General features: G+C 36.4%; 1 protein-coding gene across 20 annotated transcripts in view; it reads right to left on the reverse strand.

Annotated features, from left to right (window-relative positions):
- Positions 1 to 17,725, reverse strand: part of TASP1 (taspase 1) — a 534,161-nt gene that overhangs the window by 373,656 nt on the left and 142,780 nt on the right. For 18 of the 20 annotated variants that reach the window (XR_001754319.3, XR_007067463.1, NR_136629.2 and 15 more), the window contains one exon: positions 4,800 to 4,910. Coding sequence is in view for 14 of the 20 variants with exons in the window: in XM_047440269.1 (XP_047296225.1) it covers positions 4,800 to 4,910 (111 nt within the window). In the remaining 6 variants the exon portion in view is untranslated. Of the gene's footprint in view, positions 1 to 700; positions 724 to 4,799; positions 4,911 to 17,725 lie in introns of all 20 variants that reach the window. The other 2 variants (XM_047440270.1, XM_047440272.1) reach the window with 1 other exon arrangement.

The following is a 17,725-nucleotide window of genomic DNA, read 5'->3' on the forward strand; positions in this document are numbered from 1 at the left end:
GATGGAGCTGGAGGCCATTATCTTAACTGAAATAACTCACAAACAGGAAGTCAAATACCAAATGTTCTCACTTATAGATGGGAGCTAAATAATGTGTACACATGGACATAGAGTCTACAATAGTAGACAGTGGAGACTCAAAAGGGTGGGAGAGTCAGGGAATGAGGGATGAGAAATTACGTAATGGGTACAATGTACATTATTCAGGTGATGGTTACACTGAAAGCCCAGACTTCACCACTACACAATACATCCATGTAGCAAAACTGCACTTGAACCCCTTAAATTTTTACCAAAAAAAAGTGAACTTAGGTTAATTGTAAATGTATGTTCCAAACTCTAGAGCAACCACTAAAAAAAATAACTTACATGCTAAAAAAGAGAGGAAATGAAATCATATAAAATGTTTAGTTAAAAGAATATAGAGAAGTAAGCACTTATATGCAGTAAAATGATACAGACAAAAATTACAGACAAATCTCTTTCAGTAGAGGAATGAATAAATTATGGAACCATGAAATATTTGGCTATAAAACTATATATACTGATATATTAAGAGCATTAAGCTATGTTAAGTGGAAAGCATATTGCAAAACAATACATTAAAAATCTCTTCTATATAATTTTTAAAATGATGGAAGAAAGAAAGAAAAGGGAGGATGGCAGGAAAGGAGTGAGGGAAAGCCATAAATATACATACCAATCTGTTAGCAGTGGTTCTTTCTGGCAGGAGAAATGAGACTCAGAATGAATGAAAAGGGGTTATTGAACTTAATTGTCATATACAATTTTTCTACACATGCATTGTAATGAGAATCACTAGATATTTTATACAAATATTTTTTTAAAAAGAAAAAACAAAGGAAGCAAAAAGGGAAGAATATTGTGGTTTCCACAAAACCAAGAAAGTGGTTGCTAGCTTACCTCCATCATTGGCTGAAAGGATTTCAACCAAATCATTTCAAATAGAAACTTGAGATCCACCATTAATAGTTTTAATTTATAATTTCATTTAATGGCTAATTTGATTTACAACTTTTTTTTTTTTTTTTGAGACAGAGTTTTTGCTCTATTGCCCAGGCTGGAGTGCAGTAGCACAATATTGGCTCACTGCAATCTCTGCCTCCCATGTTCAAGCGATTCTCCTACCTCAGCCTCCCAAGTTCAAGAGATTCCCCTGCCTTAGCCTCCCAAGTAGCTGGGATTACAGGCGCTGGCCACCACGCCCAGCTAATATTTGTATTTTTAGTAGAGACAAGGTTTCACCATGTTGGCCAGGTTGATCTCGAACTCCGTGACCTCATGTGATCCACCCACCTCAGCCTCCCGAAGTGCTAGGATTACAGGCCACGGCATTCAGCCTACAACTATTCTTCATACAAGTAGTTTAGTTTGGCTTGTGAACTAAACCAAGGATCAAATATAATTTTGGAGCTGGAAGGAATTTTAGAAACCATCCGTATTTGCCCCCTCCTTTTACATATGAGGAAATTAAGAATAAAGAGATTTGTCCTAAAACAGACAACTAATTACACCACCAGTGTGTTAAAAGAGAAAAAAACTCAACCTCCTTGCTTCTAGTCTAGTCCTCTGGTAATTCAATTTATTTCCTTCCATTTACCTTGTAAATATCATCTGTGCTTCCTAAGTAGTTCCTGAAAATTTTCCTTTTTCAATCCCATTTCCAAATTATCTGCCTGAAAAGAATTTCACATTTATGTGCTGAATCCAGAAGATACGACATAGACAGTAGCATGGCAAAAGCATTTAGAAACTGCCTCTTATCTAGCATTTTTGCTTTTATTCTTAATAAAACTGCTGAAGCAACTTGTTTAACCAATGAGACGGACACAAAGTTGAGAGTGGAAACAACTGTCTTGACTCCCAGAACATTGTTCTTCTGTATTTCATACCATTTTACATTTTTTATTTTTTAAATAAAAGGCAGTGTTTTCTTGCACAACAAACACCCACTGGTTAACAAGATGACTTTTGGAAGTCACTGAACTCTTGCAAACTAAGTTTCAGCTATTAAAGGAACAGGGTCCATTAGGTGAGCTCAGACATTTCTTGCTCCTTTCCACGAGTCTGGAATTTCTAAGATGGGGCTCAATATGTATTAGGTAATGGATCCCAGTGGCAAGATGAAATACTGCAGATCAACTCCGTGAACAGTTTTATAGAGTTATACGAAGCAACAGAAAAGAGCAGAGTTCAGGAACTCCTTAGCATAAACCCAAACTTGGGGAAGTAGAACTAGCTAATCTGTAGTTTTAGACTCAGTAAAGTACTTGGGATCATTCTCAACAACCATAAAGTTACCATGTGCCATAATTACACATCCATCACAGGGTTCCTAGAAAGTGAATGTTTTTATTTTTTAACTTTTAATTTTTGTGGGTACACAGTAGGTATACGTATTTATGAGGTACCTGAGATGTTTTGATACAGGAATGCAATGTGAAATAATCACACCATCAACTATAGGGTATCCATCCCTCAAGCATTTGTCCTTTGTGTTTCAGATGATCCAATTACACTCTTTTAGTTATTTTAAAATGTATAATTAAATTATTATTGGCCATAGTCACCCTGTTGTGCCATCAAATAGTAGGGTCTTATTCATTCTTTCTTATTTTTTTGTACCTGTTAAGCATCCCCACCTCCCGCCAAGTCCTCCACTACCTTCCATGAGTTCAATTGTTTTGATTTTTAGATCCTACAAATAAGTGAGAACATGTGATATTTGTCTTTCTGTGCCTGGCTTATTTCACTTAACATAATGATCTCCCCCAGTTCCATCCATGTTGTTGCAAATGACAAGATCTCATTCTTTTTTATGTCTGCATAGTACTCCATTGTGTATATGTGCCACGTTTTCTTTATTCATTCATCTGCTGGACACTTAGGTTGCTTCCAAATCTTGGCTATTGTGAACGCTGCCACAACAAACATGGGAGTGCAAATATCTCTTCAATATACTGCTTCCCTTCTTTTGGGGATATACATAGCAGTGGGATTGCTGGATCACATGGTAGCTCTATTTTTAGATTTTTGAGGAACCTCCAAACTGTTCTCCATAGTGGTTGTACTAATTTACATTCCCACCAACAGTGTACCAGCATTCTCTTTTCTCTGCATCTTCACCAGAGTTTGCTATTGCCTATCTTTTGGATATAAGTCATTTTAACTGGGGTGAGATAACATCTCATTGTAGTTTTGATTTGCATTTCTCTGATAAGCAATAATGTTGAGCGCTTTTTCATATGCCTGTTTGCAATTTTTATGTCTTCATTTGAGAAATGTCTGTTCAAATCTTTTGCCCATTTTTTGATCAGATTATTAGATTTTTTCCTATAGGGTTGTTTGGGCTCCTTATATATTCTGGTTATTAATCCCTTGTCAGATGGATAGTTTGCAAATTATCTTCTCCCATTCTTTGGGTTGTCTCTTCACTTTGTTGTTCCCTTTGCTATGGAGAAGCTTTTTAACTTGATATAATCTCTTCTGTCCATTTTTGCTTTGGTTGCCTGCACTTGCAGGGTATTAGTCAAGAAATTTTTCCCAGACCAATGTCCTAGAGATTTTCCCCAGTGCTTTCTTGTAGTAGTTTCATAGATTGGGGTCTTAGATTTAAGTCTTTAGTCTGTTTTGATTTGATTTTTGTATATGGTGAGAGACAGGAGTCTAGTTTCATTCTTCTGCATATGGATATCCAGTTTTCCCAGCACCATTTGTTGAAGAGAGTTTTCCAGAGCGTATGTTCTTGACAACTTTGTGGAACGTGAGTTCATTGTAGGTGTGTGGATTTGTTTCTGGGTTCTATATTCTGTTCCATTGGTCTATGTGTCTGTTTTTATGCCAGTCCCATGCCATTTTGGTTACTATAATATAATCTGAAGTTATATAATGTGATTCCTCCATTTTTGTTCTTTTTGCTTAGGACAGCTTTGGCTATTCTGGGTCTTTTGCGAGTCCACATAAATTTTAGGGTTGTTTTTTCTATTTCAGAAGAATGTCATTTGTATTTTGATAGGGATTGCATTGAATCTTTGGACTGCTTTGGGTACTATGGACATTTTAACAATATTGATTCTTCCAATCCATACACATGAAGTATTTTTCCATTTTTTTGTTGTCCTCTTCAATTTTGTTTCATCAGTGTTTTATAGTTTTAGTTACAGAGATCTTTCTAAGTAGTGAACTTTTGATGAGCATCTAGTTTTCTACTCTTACTATTCCTTCTCATTAACATTCTGAGAATGCATCTAATAACTCATAACAATTACGTAAATCACATATGCTATTAAGCCGATGAATTTGGTTTTCTTTTAAAACAGCATTCAACAACAGTAATTGTTAAAACAAAATAACAATAAAACCTAAGTCTGATTCTAATACATTTGAGGAAATAGTACATGAATATAATCAACCTTTTTCTGAAAAATCACTAGAGATAGACCTTAAATGCCTATTCATGACTCATTTCTCAGCACACATTTTGCCACTGGTCAATTCTTATTAACATATTAACATATGGTTATGTATTTATTCTACTATATGAGAGCCTTGTCAGTGTCTTACAGCTTGGGGATTAGCTTAGTTATATGGAAGATTTCATGTGGTACTATCTACTGTGGTGGAATTTCTTTTCACAATCAGTATTAACTGTGGTTCTTTTCCTCTGCTAGACCCTAGAGGTAGGTCTAGAAATACAAATGGAGTACCTGACTCATAGTGCTTATAGAAGTGAAATAATCCATATTTAGAAGATGTAATCTTCTTAATGTTATACTTACTGATAAACTTGTTTTGCATAGTCTCCAACAGGGCTTGGTGAGCATCCTCAGCTTGTAAAGCATGTGAACATTCTCTAGCCAGTATGGTGCGCACAAGATGCTCTCCACATCCTAGAAATCCAAAGAAACCAACAGTTGAGGAAAAGCAGCACCGAACACCCTGCTTATTTCAATAGCATTAGAACACCCTTATGCATCATTTAAGAGAGTAGTTAGCTGGGAAAATAATTCCGTGAGGGATGAAATGACTTCCATGAGCAATCTGGTAATTTTAGTAAAGAGATTCAGCAGAAACTAAACACAAAGTTTATCAATCAAAAGCAAACCAATACAAATTAATATGATACGTAGTTCTCTGTTTAACTAGTATGTGTTGACTGGTGTTAGGCACTAACAAAAAAAATCCCCCTAAAAAATATTATGTGTAATTGTTAAACCACATTGGTACTTTTCAATATACACTCATTGCCACAAATACCATCAGTTCATAAAAGTGTGAATTTTTCAGGACATAGGCATGGGCAAGGACTTCATGTCTAAAACACCAAAAGCAATGGCAACAAAAGCCAAAATTGACAAATGGGATCTAATTAAACTAAAGAGCTTCTGCACAGCAAAAGAAACTACCATCAGAGTGAACAGGCAACCTACAGAATGGGAGAAAATTTTTGCAATGTACTCATCTGACAAAGGGCTAATATCCAGAATCTACAATGAACTCAAACAAATTTACAAGAAAAAAACAAACAACCCCATCAAAAAGTGGGCAAAGGATATGCAAGAACACTTCTCAAAAGAAGACATTTATGCAGCCAACAAACATGCAAAAATGCTTATCATCACTGGTCATCAGAGAAATGCAAATCAAAACCACAATGAGATACCATCTCACACCAGATAGAAATGCAATCATTAAAAAGTCAAGAAACAACAGATGCTGGAAAGGATGTGGAGAAACAGGAACACTTGTACACTGTTGGTGGGAGTGTAAATTAGTTCAACCATTATGGAAGATAGTCTGGTGATTCCTCAAGGATCTAGAACTGAAAATGCCATTTGACCCAGCAATCCCATTACTAGGTATATATTCCAAGGATTATAAATCATTCTACTATAAAGACACATGCACCCGTATGTTTCTAGCAGCACTCTTCACAATAGCAAAGACTTGGAACCAACCCAAACGTCCATCAATGACAGACTGGATAAAGAAAATGTGGCACATAGGCCGGGCACAGTGGCTCACGCCTGTAATCCCAACACTTTGGGAGGCCGAGGTGGGTGGACCCACCTGAGGTCAGGAGCTTGAGACCAGCCTGGCCAACATGGTGAAACCCCATCTCTACTAAAAAATACAAAAATTAGCCAGGTGTAGTGGCAGGTGCCTTAATCCCAGCTACTTGGGAGGGAGAGGCAAGAGAATCATTTGAACCTGGTAGGCGGAGTTTGCTGTGAGCTGAGATCGAGCCATTGCACTCAAGCCTGGGGGACAAGAACAAGATTTCTCAAAAAAAAAAAAAAAAAAGAAAGAAAGAAAATGTAGCATGTATACACCATGGAATACTACGCAGCCATAAAAACGGATGAGTTCATGTCCTTTGCAGGGACGTGGATGAAGCTGGAAACCATCATTCTCAGCAAACTAACACAGGAACAGAAAACTAAGCACTGCATGTTCTCACTCATAAGTGGGAGTTGAACAATGAGAACACATGGACACAGGGAGGGGAACATCACACACCAGGGCCTGTCAGGAGGTGGGGGGCAAAGGGAAGGATAGTATTAGGAGAAATACCTAATGTAAGTGATGGGTTGATGGGTGGAGCAAACCACCATGGCACATGTATACCTATGTAACAAAACTGCACGTTCTGCACATGTATCCCAAAACTTAAAGTATAATAAAAAATAATAGAATAAAAAGAACAGGAGCCATTAGGACCTTCAAGGAAAAAAATGCCCTCTTCAACCAGAAACAAATATGCTGAATAGGTAAAACACTGCCTTTGACTATTACATTAGTCATAGCAGATTAGAAATATGTCATATTATAAATAGTCAATTAGAAATAAGATTACATTCCTCTCCAGTGTTGGAAATGGATGTTTTAAGAAAATTATTCAGCAAGACTGGAAAATGAGAGGAAAGAAAAAGAATCAATAGAAGAATGGGAATTCTGAAGTAGTTGTTCACCTATTCAGTAAAAAAATAAACACAGGCCTTCTAAAAGAGAAAAAAAAGGATGAATTTTTTTTAGAAATTGCCAGATATTTCCCAGAAATGGCTTCCCTGTATTTTTGGTAAAGCGTAAATGCAAACATCCTTCAGGATCTAAATATCTCTTTGTGAATGAATACCTACACTTCAAGGAAGATCTAGATACATAAGTCAATGTGTAACTTTGTGGCATTCCCTATTCAGTAAATTTTTGCAATATTGTTTTTATAATCGGGAAAAAGATGACAATAAAGCTAACAGAAAGAAATCACGTTGGACACTTACTAAGAACAACCATTGTGCTTAGCTCATGAAACGCCATAAAGTTTAATTCCCTTTGTGTACATACTTGATGTTGAACAGTGAAATGTTACACTTTAGGACAATAATAACTGCTAGAAAATTGGCATATTATAAACTAAATGAATGTTCAGAAGGTTATATACACATGCCTGAAGTCAAAAAGCTAAACCACATGAAGTTAACATTACATGAAAACTACACAATGTATGTCAGAAAGACTTTGCTCTGCTGTTATACAGGAATATATATACAGAGCTTTCCAATGATTGATCTTTTTACCAAGAAACTTTTAAAATTATGACTTATACTCTCTGACATTGATCATCTTTAACAAAGAGCCATGAAACCAAAGCTTATTCTCCTGTAGGTTCCAATCAAAGAAAGTTTGACTTATGTGCTCTTACCTACAAAATTCCAAGGTTTCTTAGAATATGCTGCCATAGAGCTGAAGTGTGATTCAAAGGCAAACAGTTCCACTCTTTATTCACCAAAAAATAAGACTTTCACTATACCCTCTTTTTGTCCTTACTTTTCCAAGTAAGAGTATGTGTATGTTCTCACATCTTAGCAGAAAACATGGATTATAAAAGACCTGACAAGATTCCTAGAAGTAAAAAATACCAAGTTCTAAAAAAAGAAAAATTTAGCATCAATAAGTATGACAAATGAATGGATTAAAACACATAATAAATTCATAACTTATGTTTTTAAAAGCACTAATCACCTTTGGAGGATGCTATGAAACCAACTCACTATTCTGAAAATTGATAAAAGAAAACAAGCAAGCATGTTTCTGTCCTTCCAATAGGGACTACATACCAGAGTAACCCAACAATTTATGAAGGAATATTTTCTCTACAGAAGTATCCCAGATAATAAATGAAAAAGAAATTAATAGAATTGGAATATAACCATTTGTAACCCACAATGTAATAACTGATAGAGGCAATCATCAGTGGCTGCTAATACCACAGAAAGATACCAGACACTATGTATCTCTTGACAAAATCATACCGACGTAGTCTTGTCCACTGCCCAAAAAAAACTGTACTTGAATCCGATTAGGCCTCTAAATTCAGTTATCAATTTCCAGAAATAAAGAACATCTGCAAAAAGACCTACAGTTGCATCATACTTAATGATGAAACGCTGAATTGTTTCTCCCTAGGATCAGAAACAGGGCAATGATGTCTGCTTTCATCACTTCTCTTCAACAATGTACTGGAGATTTCAGCCATTGTAATAAGGCAAGGGGAAAAAAGGCATAAAGAACAGAAAGGAAGAAGTAAAACTGTCTCTATTCACAGATGATATAATTTTCTACGTAGAAAATCCCAAAGGATCTACAAAACAACTATTAGAGGTATCTCTCCATATTCTTCCTGTCTGGTTAGTCTAGGACAAAGGCTGGCAGAAGATACCTGCCTGGTACTTACCAGTCCTCAAAATATGGACCTGACCTTCATTTCTTTCCCCATTCATTCACTTGCCAGGCTGTTATTGAGTCCCTACTCTGTGGTAGGCCCAGCGTACACAGCAGTTGGCAGGGGTGCTACTACATATTGTCAGACCTCCCCAACAGTGTCAGGCCCCTGCCTGATGACTCAGTATTCACTTAACTGTCATTCTGGCCAGTCCAGATGTCAATGCCCTGATTGTGTATTCTACACACCAACCTCAAGGATTCATATAAAAACCCTGGATTCAGCAGCAGGAATCCTGGACATTCCCACGGCCCTAGGAGTGCCAGTCTCTACGGCCAGGTCATCTCACATTAATCCTAACCCTTACTCCAGCCCCAGCTCTCTCTTTCCCAGTATGTTTCCTGTTGCTGAGAATTCAGCATGTCCCATGCTCAAAGATAATACATGTCTTCTACTTGTGGGTATCCCGAAACTTTCAAAACCCACACTGAAGATGAACTACCAATAAAAAATTCCAACCCCCAACTTCAACACACATATACATACAACCAAAAGGAAGAATGAGCAATAGCAAAAAACAAAAAAATTATTTCAAGAAGTGAAAATAATTGGACAGCAGTTGAAAACAAATTTGTAAAAGGCCAAATAGTAAATATTTTAGGCTTTGAATGCTACATGTAATTTCTTTCTATAAAATCTTCTTAATGTTTTTTGCAACAAGTCTTAAAAACTAAAAAATCATTCTTAGCTTATGAGCTATACAAAAACAGGCCATGAACCAGATTTGGCCCACAGGTCATTGTTTGCCTATCCCTGAAATAGAGCAAACTGTAGTACAATAAGAAAAAGAAACAGAGCCTAGAATGATAAAGAGAAAGAAAATGAGGAGTTAAGAGTCCAAAAGTGTAAAATGATAATGTCCAATGCATTAATAGGCATTTTGAAAGAGAGGAAAGAAAGAAGAAAGCACTAATATTTGCATAAGGAATAAGAATTTTCTAGAATTTAAGTTATTAAACTGAAGATCCACAGAGTTCCAAAAAAGAGGAATAAAAATAGAAATCCATCCTTAATTGTAACAGTTTGAAGCTCTGGACCAAAGGCAACAAGAAAATATTAAAAACTCACCAAAAAGAAAAGGAAAAAAATTCACCTACAAAAAAATTCAAAAATTTTTAAATTAAACTGATAACTAAATATCTCCAAGCAACAAAAGAAGCCGCAAGACTAATATCTTAAAGATGCTATGGCAAAAAAAACAAGCAAACAGAAAAAAACACTGCCAACCTGGAATCAGTTAAACTACCATTCTACTAGAGTGAGGGTGAATAGAGACCGTTTCAGACATGTAACGACAAATTCATTTCTCAGAGATTTTAACTCCCAGCTCACTTTTACTCTGCCCAACACTACTCCTTGTCATCATTCTTGCTGAATTTAATATTTATCTAGATGATTCTCCCGATATCTTGGCTTTTGCTATTCTGATATCCTCTCCTCCAGTTATCCACACTACCTGATAAACTCACACCCATTTCAGCAGTAACGTGAACTCCTCAGTCACATCAATTGGAATCATCTCATTCCTATCTTTCCAGCTCCCTCCCTTGAGCACTCCAACTCCAACATTCCCTCCATCTCACCAAAAACTGCCATCCATTAATTCTGCTGCCTTTTAACTATTCCTCACCCCACTCAGGTCCTCACCTCTATTCTTAACTAACTAAAATTCCATGCTTCATCAACTTACATCCATCCCCTTACTCCCAAAAACCTCCCTGCTGCTCTCACTTCATCAAACATGCCTGGCAAAAGCCCACCCTGGAGTAACAGTCAGAATAGCTATACTGGGCTGCAAAAACAACGTCCAAATCTCAGTGACTTAAAATATAATTCTCACTAATGTTATAGGTCATACCTGCATCACCTGAAGATCTGCTTCACACACTCACTCAAACCTAGGTGAAAGGAACAAACCTAGGCAGATGGAGACTCCATCACCTGTAAATGCACTACCTGAATCACATACTTCCCCTCCACAAGAACGAGGCCACCCTGCTGTTCCAGAAGGCTGTTTTACCACCTTAGCCTGAAAGTGACAAATATCATTACCATTCCGGTCCCTGGCCAGAAAGAGCTACACATTCTTAGGCAACTACAAGGGGCCTGTGAAATATAGGGGAATATATGGATCTTCAGAGAGCATTAAGTTGAATGTCTCTGCCATATCTGACTAAATCCAACTTTCCATGCCTGCACTTGCATAGCTAAGCCTGAGGCACAGCAGCATGACTGAGGGGTGACATGCATGAGCATCAAGGACCATCCATGGCCACTGAGTGGGAAAAATTAAAAAAAAAGAGAAAAGAAAAGAAAAAAGAAAGAAAACACCATCTGCTGAGGACGGCAGGAGGGAAAGGACAGACCTGAAAACCAAAGGGTACTGCTAGGTAGCCCGACTAGACCCAGTCTCTTCCCAGGCATCTGTTACACGAGGTTTTCTAATTTAAGTTTAAATTTAAAAACCTGCCGCTTTAGCAACGCAATTCAGTTCTCTTTTTTAAGGCTACATCCATTCCTATCATAAATAATATAAAATTACCATTTAACCATTTTTAAAGTATGCAATTCAGTGGCATTAAGTACATTCACACTGTTGTACAACCATCAGCACCATCTAGCTCCAGAACTTTTTCATATTCCCAAATGGATACTCTATGTATGTATATACCATATGTTCTTTATTCATTCATCTGTCAATGAATATATGGGACCAAATGCATTCTTAAACTATATACGTGGCTCTTTGCTGGTGATTGAAAATGGCTCAGAAAACTTTACACTGAAAGAAGACGACTTCTAGCTACTTTTTCCAATTCAAACATGCAACTCTGTGTTGATTCAAACATAATTTCTGATAAGCTCATATACACATATTTATCAGATGCCATTAGCAGCAATACACGAAAAAGATCATTTGATCTGAGAATATTTATTTTAACTGACTTTTTTAGGGGGGAAACCCAGGATATATTTAATTACTTCCAACTACAGAATTTCGTTTTAGTTCATTTGAATAAAAAAAAAATACTTTAATACTTCATATTGTCTGAAAAATGGAGTCCTGCATATTTTAAAACCACCTTTTATCCATCTAAAGAATGACCACTTCCCTCAATCATGTGACACCACTTCAGTGAAGCCACCTTTAAATCATCTGTTTTTGAATTTGTCTGGAATCCAGAAAAAGTTGGCAAAACCCCAAGGAAACTAGAAGAGTTAATTAATAAAGTATCTTTATTTTCCTGTCATCTAAATCCTTCCAACAATGCCATTATTTCTCTAGTGGATACATTAGCTTACATTACAAAAAGCTTCTGTAACTTTACCCATAGGAGAAATCTGATATTTCTGTGTCAAGAAGCAGGGTCTTTTTTAAGAAGAGGACAGCTTGCACATTTTATTTACTCTATTCATTCATTCTCATTTTCTCTCCTCCTTCCCTCCCTCACCCCTCCCACCCTCTTACACACACACCCCTACCTTAAGGCCTATAGGGTAAGGGTTAGTATCTGTTCTGCAGTGAGACTCATGTTTGAATCCAGCAGGGTGACTTTGGGTTATTTAGGGCTCAGTTTCCATAGCTGTAAAATGGGGAATGGGATACCAACTACCTCACAGGGTTGTTTTGAGGACAAAATGAGAAAAATCACATAAAGCATTTAGCATGGAGTTGACCATAGAGTAAGCACTTAATAAATACTACTATGATGAAAATAACCATCTTAAGAAAAATTTTCTACTACTTTGCTGCCTCTCATCCTATTCTCTGTATGTTCCTTCTATTAAAGTGATTCTCAGCTAGCTTAACAATCATCACTGAGAGAGCCTAAAATAGAATTTAAAAGTTTATCCTTTGCCTTGTAATTCTAAATGAAGGCTACTGCTTCAAATCAAGCTAAGCCTTTACATAGGGTAAAAATGACCACCTAGGTAAACCTATCATTATCAAAACAAAACAAATAGTATGGTAAAGATTTCTCTTAGCCTGGCAGGAAACATTTTAACTTGATTATCTAGAGACTGTGGATCATGCTTGACTTTTCTTATTTATTCCTTTTATTTTCCCCAGTATCTAAAATAAAACCTATTTTTATTCTCCAACAGGTTTATTGCCCGACTTAAGATTACACTCCTGCGTTCACAATACTTTCTCTTAAGGCAAGTTAGTAAAGGGGAAAGCAAAGTTTCCCATGATGGGATTTGGCCCCATTCACTTCACTTCCCTGTATCTTGAGTACACGAGTTGATCAGAGTGAACATGAACAGATGCCATGGGTGTTTTATGTTGCCTGACCTTCATCACACATTTATAATTGTTTTTAACTTCAGCTCCAGTGATAGATGCAGCCTTTAAAACAAGATAATTAAATATAGGGATTGTGACAGCCCAACAAAATCATATTGTCAAATTAAGTTTTAGTTCCAAAAGGTAAAAGTAACAAACTGAAAAGCTTTTGCAATAAGAATAGAGAAACATCAAAATTTACCAATTCTTGGCTAACATGTAAGATATATCTTCATTGCATTTCTAGATTATTTTCAATCTTTTTTGTCTTCATCTAATGTAGTAGTAGCAGCAGTGGTGGGATGAGCCCCATTATTACAAAATGAAAATTAAAAGACCTTTATGTGTCCAGTTATTAATGTAGTGTTCTAATGGTTGAGGACAATAATATAATTGCTCCACAGGACCTCAAAATAAGATTAGGATTTTAAAATATAACTCATAATCTCACAGATCTTTCTTATCTGTGCAGACTTTTTGTCTTCTAAACCACTCCCACCTCAATTCTAATACAAAGAGCCCCAGAGGGGAAAAAGTGAAGTTGCATTCACAGCAGAGACACAACCCACATTCCTAGGCAGCCTCCTACAAAAGCACAGGCTCGACAGCAACAAAAGCTCACATTCAGTACCCCTGGCACACCACACGTCTCCAAGGATTACTGATGATTTTGAAGTATTTATGTCATCTTATAAATGCTGCCATTCACTCTCACTGTGGCTAGTGGGCATCTGAAAAATCTTTCAACACATCCCCTCTTAGAAGTCCACAGGGATAGATAACTAATAAGAAAGGGCCTTTCCAAATTTAAAAGGAAACATTTGGTACTTCAGTTTCCAGTATTGCAACATCTCTTTTTCAACAAAGGAATTTATTACACAGTACGTCACCTTTTCCCTGTCAAAGGATTTACTGCCAATTTTGGAGTTGGGTTACTTCTGGTTTTCAAGCCTGTCTTGTGAAATTAAAGAGAGAGCTACCTTAAAAGTGATAGGACACACATGATTTCAGTCTTCACAGTGTCCCTATGGTTATCAAACCTGGAACCTATTATATACAAGGGGAAAACATAAGGAGCTTCATAAAGAGATGGAATAAGTGGTGAAGATGTCTAATCCAGTCACATCTTAAGGTTATAGCTCACCGACACATATTTAGCGTTTCCCAAATATTCAGAGTTCTCTGTAATCCACAACTTGTCTCATACTTTGGTTATTTATTGTAATGTATCAAAAACAACTCAGGCTTTTCAATTTTTTCTGTGATAAATAATAACCAAAAGAAAAACCAATTTTATAATTATCTCCTAGAGATATCATCTCTTACAAAGTAGGGTGTGATTGATATATGCGTTAGCATTTCATAATTATTTTTAATATAGAGAAATATTATCACAGTTATGATTAAACACAGATATCTAGAGCACGGTGCTAGACATATAGTACATATACTAAGTGCTTTATACATATATTAGTTTTTATCACTACTGCCAATTTTATTGAGGATATAACCAAATCACACACTCATACGAAAAATCCCAACTGTCTAAATAAGTAGCTCCATAAATAGGAAAGGTTCCAGTTTTATGAACGCAAATACTTTCACAGATTAAAACCTTTTTGAAAAAAACTAAAACCAAAAAAACAAACAAACAAAAAAACCTTCAACAAACATGAGTAGTGAAAACGCTTCATCCCGTCTACCATGTCAGAGGAAGTGTGTAATTGACAAAGCTTCAGCCACTCTCTTTTCCTTGCTCTTCTGGGTGTGTCTGTGAGGGTGCTGCCAGAGGAGACTGACATTTGAGTCAGTGGATTAGGAGAGGAAGACCCACCCTCAATGTGGGTAGGTGCTATCCAACTGGCTGCCAGCACAGCAAAGACAAAGCAGGGGGAAGAAGGTGGGATAACTTTGTTTGCTGGGTCTTCTGGCTTTTCCCTTTCCTATACTGGATGCTTCCTCCTGCTCCTCCTGCCCTTGGACATCATACTTCAGGTTCTTCAGCCTTTGGATTCCTGCACTTACACCATTGGTTTGCTGGGGGCTCTTGGGCCTTTGGCCACAGACTGAAGGGTGCACTGTCAGCTTCCCTGGTTTTGAGGCTTTCGGACTCAGACTGAGCCACTACTGGATTCTTTCTTCCCCAGCTTGCAGATGGTCTATCCTGGGACTTCACCTTGTAATCAGGTAAGCCAGTTCTCCCTAATAAACTCCCTTTCATATACATAAATATCCTATAAGTTCTGTCCCTCTGGAGAACCCTAATACACATCTCAATGTAGAAATTTACCCAATATTCATTTTGAGTGTTAATACAGGAGATAAAGCAGAACCTTGCTTTCTGTTCTAAATTATTTAAATTTAGTTACCTAAATTATAACACTCTAATTAGAGCATCAGGGACAAATGAACCCAGGGAAGGAGGAAAAAAAATCAGAGGCAACCATCACCAGTAAAAGTGGTATTCTTATCTATGGTGGTGCTGCTAAGATTGTATCACTATATTGTATTTATCTGGGAAACAGAGTATATGTATAAGCATTAGATTTATCCACACCTGAGAACTTCATTAGGAAAGTAGCCATAAAAGAAGCAACACTGTTTGTAATGTTCAGTTGATGCTCTTGTCAATCTTCTATCTGGATTCCTGTTCCATCAGAGAGAAGGATCACATATGAGGAGAACCAGCTCTGGCTGTAGAACCTGAAATGAGTCACTTATGACATCTATGCTTCAGCTTCCTCATTTGAAAAACTAAATGGCTTAGCTTTAATAGTTTTATATTCCTCACAAGACAAAATATTTACCACTGAATGTAGTTTTAGAACTTTAATAACTTGCTGGTTAAAATATAGTTAAGAGGCTTGCAATAGGCAGATGACTTGAGAAAACCCTTTTTAAAAGCTGTTAATTAATGAAAAAATATACTTAGATTAAATTCAATTATAGAAAACTTAATTTTTTTAGGGAGAAAGGGTCACTGACTCACTGACTCACTGATTAAATAATCAACTACTGTATATCTGGGGCTTTAGAATTATCTTGCAAGGAAAGTACTATCATCTCATCTGACAAACAAGAAAAGTGATTTGGAAGAACTAAGATTCTAAGATCCAAGTATTGTGACTCCTAGTAACATGCTCATTCCATAACAGTCACTGCAGAAACCAGGCTAATATCATCACATGAATAAAGGAGATATAAACAAAGAAAATCCAAAGCCCCAAAAATCTGAGAATATGGACAAGATCATAGTAATAATTATCTGCAAATAAGGAGCACAACAGGTTCTGATACTAACACTTAGGACTGTAGATAGTCTCCAATTTTAACCAGAAAGTCCTATAAATAGTAAGTCACCAAGCACATCCCAACAAAATAAAATTAAAGATTTTATTTTGCCTCTAAGCCATGGTGTGCATTTCATGAGCCAGAAAAAAAAAACCAAAGCCAAAATGCAGTTATAAACATCTACAAATATGCAGATGTCATGTAAAATATTTCACTATACATATTGATTATATATGTGGTATAAAGTCCACAAACAGAAAGAACATAAGCAAGACAGTTATACTACACCATAAATCTAACCTATAACTACTGAGCCAGCCACATATATTAAATATTTAATTAATAATTTTCTTAATGACTTAAAATTTAGAAGTAATTTATTGGGGTCATTTTGATCTCTTTAAAAGCTGAAAAGGAAGTTTGAGCCAATGTTATTTCTCAATAAATTCCTCTGTACAAAGGAGAGGCAATATAAATCATTTCATCAGCTTTAAAGCTGTACGCAAAGTTTAAAAACAACATTCAGTATTTAGAGGCCAAATAAAGTACCATAGAAAAAAGTCTTAAATCTGCTCACCAGTCATTGCTTATCCCTTTCTCTATTCAATACAGTATCAAGGGAAGTTTTGAGGGCAGGGAAAGACACACTGCTCTGAAGGAGGAAGGAGAAAATAGTATTCATATTTTATTCTCTACATCTGGGTAGAATTTAAGGAATATCAATACAGAAATTGTCCAAAAGCTGTCTTACCACCAACTAGAAAAATTATCAGATGAAAGTAGCAGATAAAAGAAGAAAGGGGCAAAATACAGGAAGGCCACCTCAAATGAGTTAGGTAACAAAAGACAAATAGACAATATACAATTTGGGACTCTTCAAGGTTTTCATTTGACACTATTACTAAGAAATAATAACAGGAAAAGAAGGAACTACATCAACTTGTATTACTTGTTAAATTTATTTATTTAATTTATTTTAGCCAGCAAGTTAACTTACAGTTTTATTCAAAATTACCTAAGACTGTGCTTCCCAATCTCTCTCAGGTCATGAGAAAAAGATATATCTTGGACTAAAATGTTTCATATAGTCTCAGGAAATTCACAGAATGCCCCATAAAAACCAATACATAGATTCCATAGGGTCTACAAATCCCAAATTAAGAAACCACATGGCTATAATTTTATTTAAAAATCTATAAGCGTATGGTTTTAAACCTGTAGGCTAAGGTTTCAATTTGATTTTGATTTTTTTTTTCTTCCTTGAAACAGAGTCTTGCTCTGTCACCCAGGCTGGAGTGCCCTAGTGCGATCTCAGCTCACTGCAACCTCTGCTTCCCGGGTTC

The sequence above is a fragment of the Homo sapiens genome, chromosome 20 (genome assembly GCF_000001405.40).
Source record: "Homo sapiens chromosome 20, GRCh38.p14 Primary Assembly".
In the NCBI taxonomy this organism is placed as follows: Eukaryota; Metazoa; Chordata; class Mammalia; order Primates; family Hominidae; genus Homo; species Homo sapiens.